General features: G+C 40.6%; 2 long non-coding RNA genes across 3 annotated transcripts in view; one reads left to right on the top strand and one right to left on the bottom strand.

Moving 5' to 3' along the window:
* Positions 1 to 21,009, top strand: part of LOC102724465 (uncharacterized) — a 379,687-nt gene that overhangs the window by 66,905 nt on the left and 291,773 nt on the right. The gene's annotated exons all lie outside the window — the stretch shown is intronic.
* Positions 2,219 to 19,671, bottom strand: LOC124903580 (uncharacterized). Of its 2 annotated transcripts, XR_007064795.1 has the most exons (6): positions 19,595 to 19,671; positions 10,452 to 10,535; positions 8,290 to 8,391; positions 6,866 to 7,060; positions 4,043 to 4,160; positions 2,219 to 2,622 (listed from the first exon to the last, which is right to left on the bottom strand). It is a non-coding gene; the product is annotated as an uncharacterized LOC124903580 (long non-coding RNA). The 2 variants fall into 2 exon arrangements; XR_007064796.1 differs by lacking the exon at positions 19,595 to 19,671 and having other exon boundaries at positions 10,452 to 12,488.

The raw sequence follows: 21,009 nt of genomic DNA, 5'->3' as shown, positions 1-21,009 counted from the left end.
ACATACATACTTCTACATGGTTGTTAAATATTTGTCAGCACACAACCAAAGAGACCACACCCTCTCCAAGAAGAGGTGACTACTAAGCACAGCAGCATGGTAGAATGGCAGAGCAAGTGTTCTGGTGTTAGGTTCACAAGAGTAGCCTAGCATATGGGGTCTGGGTCTGACTTGCTGTGTAGCATTGAGCAATCACTTATGCTTTCTGAATTTTAGTTTACTCATCTATAAAATGGAGATAATACTCACATTTAAAGGTTGTGGGTAAAAGAAAATGAGATCAAGTGTTGTATTAGAATAGGGCCTGACATTTAGCAGGCTGTTATCAATTTATTATTATTATTTGAAAGCAAATATAGATCCAGTTTAGTTCCAGATATGTGGAATGACCTAAGGATTCTCTGATTTGTAGGGAGAGGAGAAACTTGACTATAAAAGCTTTCAAAAGGGCTGCTGTCCAAAATCACCAAGGAAATATTTTGGCACTTCAACTTAACTTGAGGAGCAGGGAGCAGGTTAATGAACATCTATCACTTGCCAAGGTTGCCTACATGCAATATCTTCCACTTCATGGATATTCTATAGGGGAATATGTAAAATCTATTTTCTAGTGATGGCTGAAACAATATCTTCCTTCCCATGTGTTTTAGAGCTTTGCATTCCTTCATCAAAAGTAAAGACTAATTTCCCTCCCTTTGAATCTGGGCAGGCTTGTGGCTCTTTACAGCCAACAGACACATCAGAGGTGACAAAGCATGACTTCCACTGTGCTGCTGCTCATATCTCAGCAGTGAGGACAATCACCTTTGGAGCTCTGAGCCTCCATATAAGATGTTTAACTACTCTGAGTCACAGTGTTGTGAGGACACTAAGCAGCCTGGAGAAGCTATGTGTTGGTGCTCTCACCGGTAGCCCCAAACTTTGAGTCCTCCTAATCTAGGCTTTAGGTATCTGAGTAAAAAGCCTTCAGGCAATTCCAGACTTCATTTATAAAGTCATGTTTAAACTTTGATCTTCCCAGGTGAGGCCCCAGACACCAAAGACAGAGACCAGCTGCCTACTCTGCCTTTTCCAAATTACTGATCTACAAAATCCATGAGTATAATCAAATGGTTGTATAATGTCACTAAGCTGGAGATGGTTTGTTATACAACAATAGTTACTGGAATCAGAATTATTATCATTCACATTTTACAGACAAGAAAATTGAGGCTTGAAAGAGGTTAACTGTCTTGTAGAGTCACATAGCTGGTCATCGGCAAATTTGAAATTCATACTGAGGGCTTCCTGGCTGGAAATTCTATGCTGTTTATAGTACGCTACATTTTCCTGCCCATTGGAGGGGTGAGAACTGTTGCTCTGCTAACTAGATGGATCCCAGAAGGGCAGGGAGGAGTGGGGGAAGGAGAGGATAAGAGTTAGTCACTGGAGAATCCTGAAGATTGCTGGGTTCTTGTTAGAAACACTGGCTGGAGTGGGATAAGAGAAGCCGACAACTTAAAAAATGGAGAGGCTAGGTTCAGGCTCTGAAAACAATTCCCTCTCCTCTTAGCAAAAAGAAAAAAACAAGCAAATAAAGATTGTCATCTCAATCCTGGTGTTTTGGTGTTTGCAGCTGTCTCTGTTGTGAACACAGCGTATTCCCAGCTGGGGGTGGAATTGATGAGTCTGTTTGACAACATCCTCTAGGGTTATAATACCTCGAAGTCTAGATGTCAGTGCTAGGGACTTATAGCATGTCACCCTCATTTCCCTGCCATCAAGAGACAGCAGATAGCCTAGTCTCTCTTGGAGGCTTTGGGGTTCATGAGGGGAGCAGTGGGGTTCATGAGGGGAGCAGTAGGCCTCCAATCTTGGTCTGCAGCTTCTGTGTAAGGCCTCCTGAAAGCTGGTCCAAGGTTGTCTCTGGATATTACCCTCTCTGAGAAGGCAAGTCGTGCCATTGATAGGCATCCCTAGCTTTTTCCCTCCAGTGCCTGTGTACACCTTTGTCCCATCTTCAATGACGTCTTTGCAATCTTAAGTCTCTACAATATTAATATCATTTCCTTTTTAAGCAGCTTATATACGTTGATCACTTATCACTTTATGTGCTTCGTGTGTATTCCTCATCAATTTACAAAATAATCCCATGGGAATGGCACCCTTATTTTCCCCATTTTACGAATGGGGAAAAGGTGCAGAGAAAGATACATAGTAATCAACAGAACTGGATTCATTTGCAATATAAAAAACAGCTCTCAATCTTTATTATATATCTTTAGAACATATTGTTAAGTGACATCAGGAAGAAGAGATGAGAATTATGGATCATAATAACTTTCATTTATTAACTGCTTATTCAGCATCTGGTATTTGGTAATCCTCAAAGTGAGCAATCCATATAATAAAACCATCTTAGAGATGATGATTCAGAGGATCAGAGAGAAGTAATTTGCCTCATGCAACAAGACCTGAGTTTATCTGATTTCAAATTCCATGCACATCTCTACTAAACTCCCAAGACAGGGTCTATCCATTGGAGCTTGTCACTCCTAGGTTCTGCCACATCATAGCTGCCTGGTTGTCCAAACTCATATGGCTCGATCCACTTATGTTGTCACATTTCCTTAAATACAGAGCCTACAGGAGGGAGCAAATGCCAGTTACCAAGGTAGCATAGAGGTGGCACCCCAACTGAACTGGATCATTCCTCATTTCCTTAAATATGCTTAACTATACCCCTTTCCCTAGCCTCAAAATTTTCCTGAACTGAGCTGACTCCCGCCCTTGAAGTGCTTGGTCCAGTCTAGTGCTGGTCTTTGGTTTGTGAAATCCTTGTAAGTTCCTTCTATTCCTTTGAGGCTCATCTCTCACTTATCCTACACTCTGAAGCCTTCTTTCACTCTCCTGGACAAATATGGGTAATTCTTGTGCCTTACCCTAGAACCAAGTACATAATTCCTTTAAGACACTTAGTCTGTGTCTATTTACCTACCTCAGGTCCCCATCAGACTCTGATTCTTGGGGACAAGGATTATATATATATTTTTTATCCTCGACACCTGCATTATCTGGCATACAGGAGGAGCTCAGATATTTTATTCATCTAAGTTTAATTAAATACCTAATTCTAAATGCTTTATACAGATTGACTCAGTTCTTAAAACAGCCCTATGAAAGAGGTACTCTTGTACATCATTTACAAATGGGGAAGCTCAGCCACAGAAAGGGGAAGTTATTGTCCAGAGTTATGTAGCTAGTAAGAGGAAGATCTGGGATTTGAGCCCAAACAATTCTGGCTATTGGAACAGAGTCTGTGTTTTTAAACTTTTAACACACTGCTATTATTCCATGGCAGGGACAATTCTAAACTTTGGAGAGAACAGTGACCAGAAGACAGACAAGGTTTCTGCTTGTCTTTGCCCATTTTGTGATGGTCTCATGGGAATGTCTGAGACTGAGTAATTTATAACAAACAGAAATTTATTGGCTCATAGCTGTGGAGGCTGGGAAGTCCAATATCAAGGTACTGGCACCTTGGGAGGGTCGTCTTGCTGCTTTATTAGCCAGCAGAAGGCAAGGTGGTGAGAGAAGAAGAGGGAGTGAACTCACCATTTTATAACAGCACCAATTCCATCCATGAGGGTGGAGCCCTTATAGCCTGATCACCTCTTAAAGGTCCCACCTCTTAATACTGTTATTGGCGATTGGATTTCTACATGAGTTTTAGAGGAGATAGACATTCAAACCACAGCCCTGCTGTCAGAGAGAGTGGGGGAAATGCCAGATTGTGCAAATACGTGTGAAGGGACACATCTACTTACTGTGTTGTGGCTTACAGGAGCCAAGTTTAGGAAAAGAAGCATTTCTAGGAATAGAAAGAGGAATTAAAAAGGTTCAAGGTGCTGGGTGCGGTGGCTCACGCCTGTAATCCCAGCGCTTTGGGAGGCTGAGGCAGGTGGATCACCTGAGGTCAGGAGTTTGAGACCAACCTGGCCAACATATTGAAACCCTGTCTCTGCTAAAAATACAAAAATTAGCCGGGTGTGGTGACACATACCTGTAATCCCAGCTACTCAGCAGGCTGAGGCAGGAGAATTGCTTGAACCTGGGAGGCGGAGGTTGCAGTGAGCCGAGATCGCACCATATCACTCCAGCCTGGGCGATGGAGCAAGACTCTGTCTCAAAAAAAAAAAAAAAAAAAAAAAAGGTTCAAGGGCAGAAGGGTAGTGGCAAAAGGATTCTAGAGCCCAAAGCCTGGTTCATATTGGACCATGTTCACCCAAGGCAGGAGCCAGCTTAGCTCAGAAAGGCCCAGTGTAAATGAATCAATGTTTGGTTCACTGACTGTTTAACTGTTGACTGAGGGGGAGATCAGAGTTCTGCCTGGCACACTGGATAAGAGATTGCCCTCTGGATAAGAGCTGCTTTATGTATCTGAGTGGGGATGTAATGGTAAGTGATAGCCATGTTACCTTCTCTCAGCTTTTGCTAAATGGAGCAGCTTCCCTACTGGCAGAGCTATCTTCTTTTTCCAACCTTGGGTGTTCCATGAGCTCTCAGCTCCACAAAGAAAGCCAGCCAAGATAAAGAAGACTGAACAGGAAGCTTTAGCATTAGAATGCTCTGGGGTGTTGCAGCACAGGTGTACAATGGAAAAAAGTCAAAACTAGAGCCTCAATCCTCATGCTTCCTGGGCAAGCTCCCTAGCCCTCCTCTGTTTCTTGAGGTTCTATTCATTAGAAGGGTTAGAAGTCCACCAGAAGCTTGCTGGTGGACTCCCAGAAGCTCTCACATACTGAGCTGTTGTTGGAGGAACAAGAGGCTGTTGGAAGTTCTAAGGAGGATAGGGAAGAGGCTCTCATTCTTGCATGGTCAGCCATAGTCAGCCTGCTCTGAAGGCATCAGGGTAACACGTTGAGCAGAGGAACTGGAAGGCAGAGACCCATGTGAATTGTAGGTGTGGATGATCCCTAGAGATAAGAGTGTGATCACAGAAAACAACTGACTACGAGAGAGGCTGGCTTTAGACAATGTTGGAGTGCTGCCAATTTGAAATCTGTGAGTAGACCATTAGGATAGGTGCAGAGTGACCAACTGGTTCTGGTTCAGCTGAAACTCCCATGTGTTGGGAACTCACTCAGTCCTGGGCAAACTGGTACAGTTAGGCACCTTAGGTACAAATCTCACTCTGAGGTAGAGTTGCCAGATAAAATATTGCATGGATTCTACTTATACTCAACAAACAAAAAATTGTTTATCTGAAGTTGAAATTTAACCGAGTGCCCTGTGTTTTTAGTTGCTAAAATCTAGGCACCCTCCTTTGTGGTATTTGCAATATTGTAGCCAGTAAAGAAAGAAGGCAACTGTTATTTGGAGAAACTCCCAGATGGGATAGATTGGGTAAGTCTCTTTGTCTTCTTATGTTTGAAGGAAGCTGAACCTGGCCAATATGGTGAGGAGCGTCTTCAACTCAGAACTGACAAAAGCATCAGTGACAGGTTGGTCTAGCTGCTAAGTGCATAGACTTCCAGAGCCAGGCAGTCCAATGCAGGTTCTGCTATTCACTACTTATGTGGTGTCCGTGGACAAGCTACTTAGTCTTCTGCTTCCATTTCCTTGTTTGAAAAATAGGGTATAGACAGTATCTGTGTCATAGAATTATTGTGATGAGTCAGTGATTGTATATCTAGAAAGCTTTTGAAACAGGGCCTAGCATGTAGCATGGCTATTTGTTGCCTAGCCAGCCTTCCTCCTCTGGTTTATATCACTCAGGAGAAAGCTCCCTCCAGACCCTTGGGCCCTGTGGGCCCTTGTGGCCATGTGACACAGCCTGGCCAAATGACATATTTAATCTGCAACTGCCCAATGGGTTCACCTTGCCTATGGCCTAGCCAGGGGAATTGCAAAAGAGAAAGAGTAATTCATGCAGAGCCAGTTGTGTGGGAGACCGGAGTTTTATTATTACTCAAATCAGTCTCCCTGAGCACTGGGAGATCAGAGTGTTTAAGGACAACTTGGTGGGGGGAAGCCAGTGAGCCAGGAGTGCTGATTGGTTAGGTAGGAGACGAAATCATGGGAAGTTGAAGCTGTCCTCTAGTGCTCAGTCAGTTCCTGGGTGGGGGCCGCAAAATCAGATGTGCTGATTTATCAGTCTGGGTGGTGCCAGCTGATCTATCAAGTGCAGGGCCTGCAAAATATCTCAAGCACTGATCTTAGGGGCAGTTTAACCTCCAGCTACATGACTCCTAAACCATAATTTCTACTCTTTTGGCTAATGTTAGTCCTACAAAGGCAATCTTGTCCCCAGGCAAGAAGGAGGTTTATTTTGGGAAATGGCTGTTGTTGTCTTCATTTTAAACTATAAGTTCCTCCCAAAGTTAGTTCAGCCTATGCCTAGGAATGAACAAAGCTTAAAGGTTAGAAGCAAGATGGAGTCAGTTAGGTTAGATCTCTTTCACTGTTTCAGTAATAATTCTGCAAAGGCGGTTGCAATCCTCTAGAGTCCGTTCCAATGATTGGTCCAGGGAGAACCTGAAGCACAGGTCAGTGCAATCAGAGCCAATTCGTTGGCTCTTGTTAGGACAATTGAGGGAGAGGAGCCCTTTGCCTCTATATGCAATCATATACAAAGGCGTTATGCTGGACCACCCAGGGTCCTGCACAAGGACTACCTGCCTGAGACTGGGGATGATCCAACGTAAAGCAAGACCTGAGAATGGAGAAAAATGGAAGCAGCTATTGTCATGGTTTGAATGTTTGTGTCCACTCTCAAATTTATGTTGAAACTTCATCCCTAATGCAACAGTATTAAGAGGTGGGGTCTTTAGGAAGTGATTAGGTCTTGAGGACTCCCTCTTCATAGATGAGATTAGTGCCTTACCAAAGAGCTTGAGGGGACAAATTCAGCCCTCCACCTCTTCTGCCACGTGAAGACACAGCATTTATCTCTTTTGCCGTCTCTCCTTCCACCATGTGAAAATGCGGCAACAAGGCACTGTCGTGAAAGGAGAGCCAACCTTCTGTAGACGCTGACTTTGGCAGTACCTTGATCTTGGACTTCCCAGACTTCCAAGAGCTGTGAGAAATAAATTTCCATGATTTAAATTGCCTAGTTTGTAGTATTTTGTTATAGCAGCACAAATGGACTAAGCTAGCTTCCCTAGTGTGAGTGCCTGGACCCTGCCTTTCCTTGCAAGTGACTGAGAGCACTGCTGTGGCATGGCCTTGTGCATTGGAACCTCGAGGCCGTCACTTGTTTCCTGTGCAACCTTGGGTGAGTTCCTGTACCTCTCTGTTCCTTGTTCCCTTGGCTTTACAGTGGAGAGAGTAATAGCATCTCCTTCATAGAACTGTTCTGAAAATTAAGTGCGTTAATATACATAAGGTGCTTAGAATAGTGCTGGGCAGTAAATATTGGATGTTATGACCACTGGGCATTTCTGTTTTATGAGGCAATAAATCCTCTTTGGGGTTTAAATTGGCTTGAATGGGGTACCTGCCACTTGTTACCAAAAGAATGTTCATAAATAAAAAATGCATTTTGAGGAGAATCTGGAGTTCTAGAATAACTTGCACATCTCCCAGGGAGAACAAAGGGGATGTTTGTTGAAGAAGAGGAATGTGAATGACTGAGAGCCTTGGTTCTCCAACTCTAGTGTATGTCTGGAGAGTTTGTGAAAACCGACTACCAAGTCCCACCTCTAGAACTTTGGATTTAATAAGTCTGGGGTGTTGCTAAAGGGATTTGCATTTTGGAAAAGTTTCTGGGTGATGCTGGGGCTTCTGGCCTTGACATGTATACTTTGAGAGCCTCTGGATTACATAAAAGCCTGAAGCAGTGACATTTATTTAGTTTTATTTAGCAAAGTTGTATGTGTATGTCATGCCTACTATGTGCCAGACACTGTTCTCAGTGTTTTACAAATACTGATTTAATTTTCATAACAGTTTCATGATATAGTCCCTATCACTATTTTGCAAATGAGGAAACAAGCCTAGGAAGATTAAATGACTTGTCTGAAGCTTGTTGATGGAAAGTTAGAAAATGTACCCAGCCAGCCCAGGCTGTTCCTAACCTTTATTTTAGGCTGCCTCTACACTATTCAATACAAAAAGAAAAGGTTATGAAAAATACAGACGCTTAGGCCCCACCCTCAAATTGTGGTTCTCCAGGGGTGTGCAGAAGGCAGGGAGCAGCCCTAGATAGTTGTGCTGGCTTTCAAAAGTCACTCGAGGGATTCTGAGGCAATGTGAGCCCTGAGGAGTGGAAGCCTCCTCTCTGATGCTAGCTCCTTGGCCTCTCACCAGTTACGGATTTTCCCCAGGAAGGGCCATTCCTCTGTAGACTGCAGGAGTGTGGAAAGGTCTGGAGGGAAGAGGGCTTTTCTCCACTGCAGGTGTTGAGACCTGTGGGGAGCAGCAACCAGGAGTCAGAGGTTAAACACTGCCTCTAACTAGGATCCGATAAGATCTTTAGCAACAATTAGCACCTCTTCAGCTCCTGAGAGCAGAGACTCTGCTTGCTTTATTTCATGACTTTCCTTCCCTGGCTGCCTGTTTCAAATTAGTAAGGAAAACTCAGCTCAGACTTGATAAAGCTGGGCCTGGGGAGTTAAGTCTTGGGCACAGCGTGACATTTCCACAGGGTTTCTACTGGCTCCTTGGTTTATACTCACTACTGCTCCTGCATTCTAGGGGCTTGTGTGTCCTTGTGCACAGAGCCAGGCTCCAGAGCTGGAGGAGATCTGTAGAGATACTCAGGTCTCATCTTGTCCTCCCAATCACCATGGCATCTCTCCTGCAAAGCCACCCCAGCTCCCTTTACAAAAGAGGGAATTATGATGCCAAGAAGAGAAGTGACTTCTGAAGCCACTGGAGAACAGAGTCAAAATCAGAACACAGAAGGGATATTTTTTAATAAAAATAATACAAAGGTCAACCTTTGAACGAGTCTAGATTTGAAGCCAAGCTCTTACCTTTGCTAAGTTAGTAGAGACATATCGCCTGGACTTCCCTGTGACCTTTGCAAAGTATAGTTTTTCCCTCGGGGTTATTACAAAGTCATTTTGGTCCTTGGGACTAACATAGCAAAAAATAACTCAGCTGGGTCATCGGCCTTTGAGTTTGCTTTTGTTTTTGTTTAAAATACCACAACTTATGCTGCCCAGGAAGCAGATCAGACAAACTTGAAATGGTCATGGAATTTTCTTCTATTCATGTGTTTGTTCATTTTTGTTTTCATTCATAATTGGTTTGTTGAATGAGAAGTTCACTTTGGAGAGAGAAAGAAGATGCTGAATCTATAACATTACTTCTGGAGCTTACCAAATAGTAAGAGAACCACACTTAGGCCAGTGTATAGAAAGTTGTACTTTCTATAGTAAACCAGAATTAACATTTCTTATGCATGGAAACTGTACTAGGTGTTTTAATGTTAAAGTATTTAATCTTCTCTAAATCCTTATGATGTAAGTATAATAAATAAGAAAACTGAGAGTTAGAGAGGTTAAATAAATTTCCCAAGATCATAGTGCCAGGTAGTGACAGAATCAGGTTCTAAGCCAGTCTATAGGCTGAACGTTTGTGTTATTTTTGCTCTGCCATGAGCTGCCAGGCATGTAGTTGGGTGATTTTGTACGCAGATATTAACATACATACATATGTATATGTATGATACGAAGAGGGTAGATCTAGGAAAGGAGTCATAGAAATTGTGTTTGAGTAGATCAGAGAGGTGCACTTCTCACATAAAAAACCTAAATATGCATTGGAAATAGGAAGGCGCATGGCATGTTTGTAGAACCATATGTAGTTACGTTTGCCAGGAAAGGGATTGTGTGGGAAAATAATGGGACATGATGAATAAGAGAAAATGTACAGCTAGATAAGCAGAAGAATTGGATACTAAGCTGAAGATAGCAGACTGTGGGTGCTGTGGCTGCTGAGTGCTGATAGATGGCCATCTGTCACAATTTCATGCGAGGTTACAGTTCTTTCACTCAAGACTCAATAGACTTCACTTAGACGTTTTCACATGTACCCCCAGAGAACTGCTTCAGATTGCTGACATTGTCCCAATTTCTTATGGACTGATGTTAGCAGCAGCATAAGCTGTTTGCCATCCCCTTTCAGTCATAATAAGCATTAACACATTGGGAAGAAAACCCAAACAGTCTTGAAATTGCCCCTTAATCCCACCCTTCTAGGCAACCTGAACTAGGGACAGCCCCTACATGCTGAGTATCACTGGGGACATTGCAATCAACTTTCCTGGTCCCAGCAAATGATCTACCTGATGGCCAACCTCTTTTGTTAGACATCCCTCATTCCCATCCCCTCCACCTACACACCACCTTGTTACCTCTTTGCAAATTCCTCTCCAGTTAATTCCTTCCACAGTACCTCTCAGCACCAGTTCTACTCCAAGCCCCTTTCACTTCTCCAACTACCCCATAAACGGCACTCACCCTGATGTTGACTCATTAACCCTCATGCCATGTATTTCCTTAGTTTTCTTAGTTGAATTCATTTAATTTCTTCAGTGTTGTTATCTGCAGGGAATTGTTTTGAAAGCCAAAGGATTAAAGACAAATCACATGATGTCTTCTCCATACAGACCACAACATTCATCCCATAATATTTTATTTATGTAACATATAATTGAGAATATATGGGCAAGACTGTAATGGGAATAGGAAGAGCAGATGTCACTGAAGGCAACAACCTCATGGCTCCTAGTGGAAGGGAAAAGGGAGAGGTAATTGTGTGAGCATATATTGATTGTTACCTCACAGTTACCTGTGAGCAGCCCCAAATTGCCTTGATTTAGTGTGTATGAACACCTTAGGTCTTCCTAATGTTAGGTGGTCATTTGATTTCTCTTTGTCCAGATGCGTCCTGCACCCTGTTGGAGATCTACTTTCTTTAAGTCTTTTTATTAAAAAATAATTCAACTGTGAACCAAGTGCTGTGCTAGGTACTGGAAGAACAGTGGTATTATACAAGACATCCATCCTGCAATTAAGAGGGTACTGTAGTTAAATAGCCTAAGGAAAATTGAGATACAATATGATACATGCAACGAAGATAAAAGGACAATGAAACCTGGTATAAACCTTGGTCTAGAATGGGTTTAGGGCAGGATTTGAGAAAGACTACCTAGAAGTTCTGATATTTGAGTTAGACCTTAAAGGATGTATGGGAGTTCATCAGAAGTAATATTGGAAGATGGAAAGGGAGAAGGGGATGGAGAATATTCAAGGCAGAAGGAATAGCATGTATGAAGTCCTAGAAGAAAGGAAGAGCAAGGCTTATAGGGAATGGTGAGAATGCCAATATGGCTGAATGTAGGTATAAGAAAGAATGGGATAAAATGAAACACTACCCTCTTTAAAACTTCCTACCAACTTGTTGACCACACTTCTCTGTCTCTGCAGGCTCAGTCTCCACTGTCTGGTCATTAGAGGTTAAGGTCCTCAAGATTTGGTCCTATCCTTGCTTTTGTTCCACTCTGTGTCCTCTTCCTGGGCAACTTCACCCATGCCCAGGAAGTTCAATTACACAGTCAAATGAGTTTTTATTTCTGGTTCAGAGTTGGACCTCTAGCTCAGACCTTCAGACACATATATGCCACGTAGGGTCTCAAAGGCACCATATTTGGCTCAAAACAGAACCCATAGTTTTTACTTTCTTAACTAGGTTCCTCTTTCAGTGATGAGCACTGCCGTCCATCCAGTTATACAAGTTGAACATTATCCTGAACATAGGCATTATCCCTAACATCCTTCTCCAACTCACACATCCAATTCACCACAAGTAATGTTGATTTTACTTAAGTATCTCTCAAATCTATCCACTTTGATCTACTTCTATCAAGTACACAGCAGTTAAAGCTACAATTTCTTGCCTAGACTTTTGCTATTGCAATAACTCTAACTTGTCCTCACATTTCTACTCTTAATCTCACTTTTAATTTAAGCCCTTCAGTTTAGAACCAGGGAATCTCTTAGGAAGCTGAGCAATATGGTGAACTAGAGATCATAAAAATTTCTCCCAGTGTAGAACAAAATACACTGGATTAAACTGCATGGCTGATCTGGCAGGGAAAAAGGAATAAGATGATTTCTTAGAAATAAGACATTAAATAAAAGTGCAGATCTGTAGGATCTGGCTCCAGCCAGGATAGTTTATAATCTGGATTTTAATGGGTCATGTATACCAAAGAACAAAAACAAAAAACAATGCTTGACCCAACACAGGACAGTAGTTAGAGACACCTGGAATAAAATGGAGACTTCCAAAGAGTGACATCCTCAAATAAAATAGGAAAAAAAAAATTTTCTGCTGAAGGAGACAGTGGGGATACATACAAGGTTTTTTTTTTTCCCTAATGTTTTCCTTATCCTTTCATTATGCACCATTACATTTAGAGTTTTGAAATAACTACCCATAGAATGGGGAAAAATGTATCCTTTAAGAATGACTAAAAATGGTTGATCATTTGTAAGTCTTTATTCTAGACTTGAGACATGAAAAAGAAAACCTAACAAAACCGGAAAAAAAAAATGGTAGATAGAAGACAAGACTACCATGTAGCTCCTGCTTAGACAGACAGAACATCAGCTGGAGACTCACTTTGTAAACTTTTGCTCCTAGAACCACCACAGGAACATACTAGGAAAACTGAAATAATTCAGAAACCCTTTGAAAGAAGCAGGTTGCTGGCTGCAAATGCCTCAAGACAGCTGAAAAACTCCTAAGACTTGTAGACATAATCTCTTGGGAGCTCTATGGCCCTGCCCATCACCTAAGAAACCCGAGTACTTATCATGGCCACCATAGGGCAAGATTATACACCCCTTGAAAGCGCCACCTTGAAAGATTATACACCTCTCCAAAGCGCCATTATATACTCTTTTGAAAGCGCCACCTCCTGGCTGGAGACCAACAAACTCAAGTCATTACAGCAACTCAGAACAAACCTGCTCCAAAAAATGAGAAAACAACAGCTACTTCCACTGCCTGCAACACCCTGGGCTAACGAGAGGTCCTGAGTTCCATGTGACAACTTGGCTGCTAGCATAACCAGTAATGTCGCCACTTTTATTCAAGATTTTAGTAATTTGAGTCTTCTCTTGTTTATTTTTTCTTGTTCAGTTTACTTAAAGGTTTGCCACGTCGGTTGATATCTTCATAGAAACAACTTCTAGTTTTGTTTATAGTGTTTTCCAAATCTTTTATTCCCTTGTTGGTCTTCTCTCTAGTTGTTCTATCCATTATAGAGAGTGGGGTATTGATGTTCTAACTATTAGTTTTGAATTATTTCTTCTTACAATTCTTACAGTTTTGTTTCATGAATTTTGGGGCTTTTTTGTTAGGACAAATATATATGTATATTTATCATTGTTATAGATTCTTAATTTATTGGCCTTTTAAATATTTTGTGTTTAATAACTTTAAACATTTTGTTTTCTTTCATCCTTTTAGTTTAAAATCTTCATATATTTAAATCAAATTGTGTCTCTCATAAATGACATATAGTTGGATGTTTATTTTATCAATTCTGTCAGTTTCTGTTATTAATGGAATGCTTAATACATTTATATTTAATGCAATTATTGATAAGATAGGATTTATATCTACCACTTTGCTATTCATTTTTTATATGTCTTAATTTTTTGTTCCTGTATCCCTCTATTGGTGTATTCTTTTGAGTTAGTTTATAGTGAATCATTTTTCCTTCTATGTATTTTATAGGGAACCATTTTTCCTTGTCATTTCTTATATTTCGAGCCATTTTCTTAGAGTTGTGCTGAAGATTATCGTTAGCATCTTATAACATTTTAGTTTTGATTAATATCAACTTAATTTCAATAGCATACAAAAATTTTGCTTTTATCTAGCTCCATTCCCTCCATTCCTCTTTGTGCTGTTAGCATCATACAAATTCCGTCTTTATACATGTGTGGCCAAGAATATAGATTTATAATAATTGCATTTTGTAGTTTACTTTAGATCAGATAGAAAAAATAAGCATAATAAAAATATATTCTTACATGTAAACTTACATAGTTACCTCTATCAGTTGTCTGTATTTTTTATGTTAATTCCAGTTACTATTTTATTTTAGTTTAATGGACTCCTTTTAGTATTTCTTATAGGGCAGGATTATTAGCAACAATTTCTCGCAGTTTGTGGTTGTCTAGAAGTGTCTTTCTCCTTCCTTTTTTGAAGGTTAGTTTTGGTGGATGTAGAATTCTTGGCTCACAGTCTTTTTCTTTCATCACTTTGAGTATGTAATTCTACTGCCTTCTGTTCTCTATGGCTTCTTATGAGATGTCAGCTATTAATCTTATTGATAATTACTTGTATGTGAGCAGTTATTTTCTTGCTGCTTTCAAGATTTTCTCTTTGGCCTTTAACAATTTAAATATGTGTCTACTTATACATTTCTTTGAGTTTATCCTACTTGGAATTTGTTGAGTTTCTTGGATTTGCAGTATGATGCTTTTCATCAATTTTGGGAACTTCTTGGCCATTATTTCTTCAAATACTTTTCTCTTCTCCTTTCTCTGTCTCCTCTACTTCTGGGATTCCTGTTATGCATACGTTGCTATGCTTGATAGCATCTTTCAGTCTCTGAGGTTCTGTTCATTTTTGCTCTTTCATTCTTTATTTCTCAGCCTATATAATCTCACTTAATCTGTTTTCAAGTTTGCTGGTTCTTTCTTCCACTTGCTCAAATACGTTGTTAAATCCCTTTCCAATTTTGTTTTATTTGGGTTTTTGTACTTTTCAACTCTAGAATTTCTATTTCCTTCTTTTTAAAATTTCTCCCTTTAAATATTCTCCATTTCATGAAACATCATTCACCTGCTTTCATTTTGTTCTCTAAACATGGTCTCTTTTAGTTGTTTGAACATATTTAAGTAACTGTTTTGCAGTCTTTGTCCAATAAGTTCAATGACAAGACCTCTTTACAGATAATTTCTATTGATTTCCTTTGTCCTGTATATGGGCCTTACATCTTATGTTTTTGCGTATCTCATATTTTTAATTGCTAAAACGACATTTTAAATAATATGTGGCAACTCTGGAAATCAGTTTCTGTCTCTTCCCCAGTAAGTTGTTGTTGCTGATTGTTATTGTCTTATGACGTTTCTTGATTAACAGCTTCTTCAGCTTCAAACTTGGTATGTGTGAGACAAAAAGAAACTCCAGGACACTCATCTCCCTGTTGTTTTTGCATTTCTTGGGTCCTAGTCAGCCTGCCTTCCCTCCAACTTTCATAGTTTTTTTTTTTTTTTTTTAAATCCTTGTCTTGTATACACATTGCAATGTTTTGGGGATGTTTTGCAGACAGAATATGAAAAATATATATATCCATTCTATTTTCCCACAAGTAGAAGTCTCCTTGTCTCTTTTTATAAACAATTATTTGAGACATAGTTTTACATTTTCCCAGTGGTTATTTGGTTTGTCTCTACCACTACATAGTAATCTCCATGAAGGCAAGTGTCTGGTCTGTTCACCATGTTTTCTCCAGTGCCTGGCACATAATAAGGCCTCAATACATATTTTTGGATCAATGAATATACACACCTGCTCTATAAATCTAAAGAAGGTGAAGTTGCAAGTTGATTGAAATTACATGTATTTTCTCATGTGATATTGTTGGAAGCAAAAATCTAATGCTCAACCCAAGAATTCTCCATACATGGAGTTTCTCTGTGGCTGTGCTTAGAACCTATCAGTGGAGAATGTTGTGAAGCTAGCATTGAAGTCTGTGCTACCTGTGGACACTTCCTTAGGCCAAACTCCCCCATGAGGGCAACTACCTGAGAAGGGGATAGCACAGGAATATCCAGGATACACAATACTATAAGGGCTACTTTGTCGCTTCAACATGACATATCAAAATGTCAAACCTCAGGGAGTATCTAGATAATGATTGGGTAGGAAGATACTTGCAATCGTCAAAGAAGAAAATCAAACTTTTCCCATATGATTCTGAGAGGGTACCCCACAATCTTTGTCAGGATTTCAAGGGTGGAGACAGTAGCAAACTACTCTTTAAAGCTCCATGAACAAACATCCCCTATAATTGTACAATAATGACTAGTTATGTTGGTCATAGTTCTCTTTTTTCTCTCCCTTTCTCCCTCTCAAAATAGGGCATCAGGTATAGAAATGTGAAAGTAACATACGTAGGGTCTAAAGTTGAGATATGGCGGCTAATGTGTACATGTATATATATTTAATTTATATATATTTAATTTATGCACAGGAGAGAGTGGTAGTACTCTCCTTTGTGTAATCAGGCAGTGCTTTGATTCACCAGGCATACAGAGTGTGACAGGCATAGGAGTCATCTGAGGCTAAGAGACAGAGGCCTGGAAGAAGGCTCTGTGGTCTCTGTTCTCAGGAAGGTGAAGAGCTAGCATGTACTTGGCTTAATGGGAAAATCATTATAAACTCCAATAATATGCTGCCCTTTTGATGAGAAAGGATAAACACAGTACTAAGAAAATTGGGCTTTCTAGATGAACAGTTCTGATTTTGCTGATTACCAGTTGTATGACCTCTCAACTTCTCTACCTATAGTGTTTATCCCTGCATTGGAGATAATAATAGTTGTTGCTTCCTTGAGCTGGTCTGAGGATTATTGCCTATAAGGTTCTCAGCTTAGTAAGTAGGTAAAGAATAAAGAAGAGGAGAGGAGAGTTGTTATTGATATGGTGGAATATTTGCTTAATAGAATTTTCAGTAACAGTAAACGATTATACTGATCATGCACACTTTCGTGCTCCTGTGGCCTTATGACACACGCTAGCAAGATGGCTGTGGATGTGGATGGAGGCCTAGCTGCAGAACATAGGCCACACAAACTGGACTATATGTGGTCTGAACCAGTGATCTGAGCTTTTTAATTTTTTTTTTTTTTTTTTTTGAGACAGAGTCTTGCTCTGTTGCCCAGGCTGGAGTGCAGTGGCGTGATCTCAGCTCACCGCAACCTGTGCCTCCTGGGTTTAAGTGATTCTCCTGCCTCAGCCTCCTGAGTAGCTGGGATTACAGGCATGTGCTACCATGCCGGGCTAATTTTTTGTATTTTTAGTAGAGATGGGGTTTCACCAAGTTGGCCAGGTTGGTCTTGAACTCCTGACCTCATCATCCGCCCACCTCGGCCTCCCAAAATGCTGGGATTACAGGCGTGAGCCACCGCGCCCTGCCCAATCTGAGCTTATTCAGTAAGAGACTCTAGCCAATTACTCTGTTTGGCCTCAAAGAAGTGCACTTCATCATCTGCAATTTATATGCCCTAAAACCCTCAGTGAAAATTGTTAGATTTGGGTGTTAGAGGCTGCAGTCCCTAGGAGCTAAATAACCATGTCCACATTTAGAACATCTGGCAAAGCTTCTGGCAGCTAGCTAGAACCAGGCAGGCAGAATAGAAATCCTATGAATGTGACATAAGGTAGATTGCAGTGACTAAGCTCTCTTTCTCAGCATGTGTGGAATGACTGCAGTGAAAGAGATATCATGCATAGATAAAGTCCACAGATAAGCTTTTATATTGCAGCTATGCCTGCCCTTCCCCTTTGAACTTTTGCACCAATTGCTAAAGAAGAAACTGTGGTGATCTGTTATTTCCATAGCCTCTTTTTTTTTTTTTAGTCTTCATTCTCTAAGGGAAGCAAAGAAAACAAAACAAAACAAAAAACACTGACCAGAAGGCCAAAAGCAACAGGACGTGGTTCCCTCTACAGAATTTGACATCGTTGATTGCCAAATTCCTTATGAAATATTTTTCTCCCTGGCCTAACAAGAACATTGTTCTGTTTTTCTTCAAACAAACACTTTAATCACTCCTTTTTGTTTCCTTAACTGCATCCTCTTTTTCATCTTGCTCAGAAAATATGCTGTTCCTTGGTCTTCTCTCTTCCCACTCCTCTTTCTTAAAGGCATAAACTTTGACAGTCGTCACCTATTTGTAACATTTTTGAGTTCATGCACTCACACGATCATTCATTTCTACAACACCCATTTGTTTTCAGTTTTTACAAGAAAGGCACCAAACAAAGTAGTGAAAGATGGTGCTCTCAAGAAAATGACAGTCCCAGAACTGATATTCACTGCCCCTCCTAACCCTCAGTACAACCATACTGGTTATTTATCTGTTCTAATTGGCTGGTCTGTGTGCCATAGTAGTTTTTAAATATTTTGACCATTATAGTTAGCTATGCCTAGATGGGGTATAGTAAATAACAGAAAATGCTTAAATTCAAAGTTGACATCTGTCCTGAACTTTAATATCCATTTTGCTGGCCTAAAACTTCCTGTTGCTATCCCAAGTATGAACAACTATTTTTGACGAAATCCTGATTTTCAACGTTCAGGTCCCTTTCCTTTGAAAATTTGCATTCCAGAAGTAGGAGCTCAAAGTTAAAAAATGGGCTGGCTCCTTATTTTGCAAATGAGAAAGTATTTCTCTTTGAGGGATTGTGACTTGCTTAGTCATTCGGTTGACCAGAACCCAGATCCTCCAACCCAAAATTAAGTGTGTCAGTAGTTTTAAAGATTTGGAGGAATTTTTCAATTTCCTACCAGCTGCCCTGGCTTACATATGCAGCAATAAAATTCTTTAGATAGGACATGGCTGTGCATTATCAAGAATGTGTGAAGACAACGTGTGTGAACAAATGTATCCTCTATAATGGCTGGGAGAATGGAGTAATTCAATGTCATTCTTAGGCCAGACCTTGTGCTGCCACACGTTTAATCTACATGCATTTGGTGCCATTTTGTTTGCCCTTTTCACATGGTGCTTCAGCAAGGCCCTAGCTGTTTTCAGTTTACCTGAGTGGATTTCCCAGGGACAGTATTATTTCACACAGTGTTTCAGAAGTTTTTAGTATTCAGGCTTCCAGAGGCATGTTCCAAATTGTTTCATAAACATGTGTACATACATGCTGACGGTTCCCACCCCACACATTCAAGATACAAATGTCCTCTGCCAGATCTTGTCTCTCAATGTTTACTTAACAATATATGGTCACTGTACTGATTAGAAACATAGCAGAGAACAGGAGGCAGGAAGACTGACAACAAAAAGGTGACAGCTGACAGTCTAATACTAAGGGAGGAGGCAAAAATTCATAAAAACCATGTCAGTGAAGGACCATCCTGGATAGTGACAAATCACCCATCACATATCAACACTATATGACAGTAGAGGCCAATGTGGATATTAACAATGCAGAATCTCAAACACCAATGGAAAACATCAGTTTTCTATATCTTTTGTTTTAAAATTCCCAGATATATATCATAAATTTTTAGGAAGATTCCCACTAAAAGTGATTAAAATGCCTTAATGGTGTTTTACAGAAATAATAGTATAACAGTAATACTAATAATAGGAAGAAGAAGGAGGAGAAGAAATCTTCTTGTTTCTCTAAGATTACCAAAGTTTTTTCCCGTTTATATTGGCTAACGTAATCCTCAAACGAATCTGATGAAATAGGCGTGACTTTAACCATTGTTGTTTGAACTAACAGTTAAGGATGCAAAATAGTAAAACAATAACATGAAATAGAATTTCCTGAATCACCCTTCTAGGATGGACCATAGAAATCTTTCCTTCTGGGGTATCTCAAAACATGCAGTGTCCACATTCCTGGGTTTCTCAGATGACCATTTTGATGGACCCCACACCTCAGGTATCTAAGGCTGGTTGACTCTAAGAAAATCTGGTGTAAAATGCTCCTGTATTGGCCATTTCTACTTCCTGGTCAAACAAGAAGTCCTTCTATGTCTCCTGCTCTCAGGGTCTTCTGGAAACTTCCATGACACAATATTCTGACTTTGCATGGTTATGGAATTCCTACCATTTGACTGTGACGTTCAGACAATGGAGGGAGGGGGGTCAATGTGGGTGGGGACAAAAGCAAATATTCCAGCACTTAATGCAAGAGACCGTCCCATTCTCCTCCCATGACCTCCATATCACCACATCACCTGACATGTCCACCCCATGTATCTACCCCTCACTGTGCTTCTTGAGCTGTTGAGGGGTGGCATTTGTTTTCTAATGCATGAGGGGTCTTATTCGCCAGGCTAGTTGTCAGCTCTGACGTGTGCAGTCATCTGTCATTTCTATCAAACTCCTTAGATCTTGCAAGTTAGACCTGTGAGTGGCCCCCACCCATCAGCCCTCCAGACAGACTTGGATGCGTTTGAACCAGAAAGGGTCAAAGTTTCAGCCTTCTATATGGGGCACCTCTTATGAGCTGAGTCATATCTTCTAGAATCCACCTTGTTACAGGTACTTGATGGTGAACATTGCAAGTAGATTTCAACCAGCTCCGGGCAGGTGCTAGAAGATAGCACCTTGCCTTAAGCCAGTAATAAATGCTTCTGCCTTTCACCCCCAGGCAGACTGTTCTGAGATCCATTTCATTCATTTCCTCAGAAGCTCCAGCTCAACTAAGTATCAGTTCCCTGTGGTGATGGCCAACTGGATAATGCATTCATGCATGGGTTTTCCCTCCCTCTTTCACTCCCTTGTTCCTCCTCCTTGGGAATATGTCCCAGATAAACCACCAGGCCTTCAAACCTTTATTGAAAGCTTGGCTCTGGATGGGTGGATTGGAGGAAGGAGGAGGAGTGGAGCCCCCACTAAGGCATTCCTGCTCCAGGTAAAAAATCTACTGTAGTAATAATAAAATAAGAGCCAATATTTATTGAGCACTTAACATGTACCAAACACAGTCGAGAACACTTTACATGCTCTAACACATTTAGTGCAATGTGTGCATTTTACAAATGAGAAAAGTAAGTCTGTGTTTAAGTGACTTGTTCTGAGTACCACAGGGCAGAATTAGGGCATAAAGCTAGTTTCAGATTCAGAGCTGGAACCTAGATTCAGAGCTCTGACGACTGCATGAGACTCAGGTAAGTCTTCAATTGTTTGGAAACCTTGGGGAGGCAGAGAGGTCACTTATTTTATTTTATTTTATTTTATTT

This window comes from Homo sapiens, chromosome 15 (assembly GCF_000001405.40).
Source record: "Homo sapiens chromosome 15, GRCh38.p14 Primary Assembly".
Taxonomy (NCBI): Eukaryota; Metazoa; Chordata; class Mammalia; order Primates; family Hominidae; genus Homo; species Homo sapiens.
This window is presented reverse-complemented; position numbering and strand designations above follow the sequence as displayed.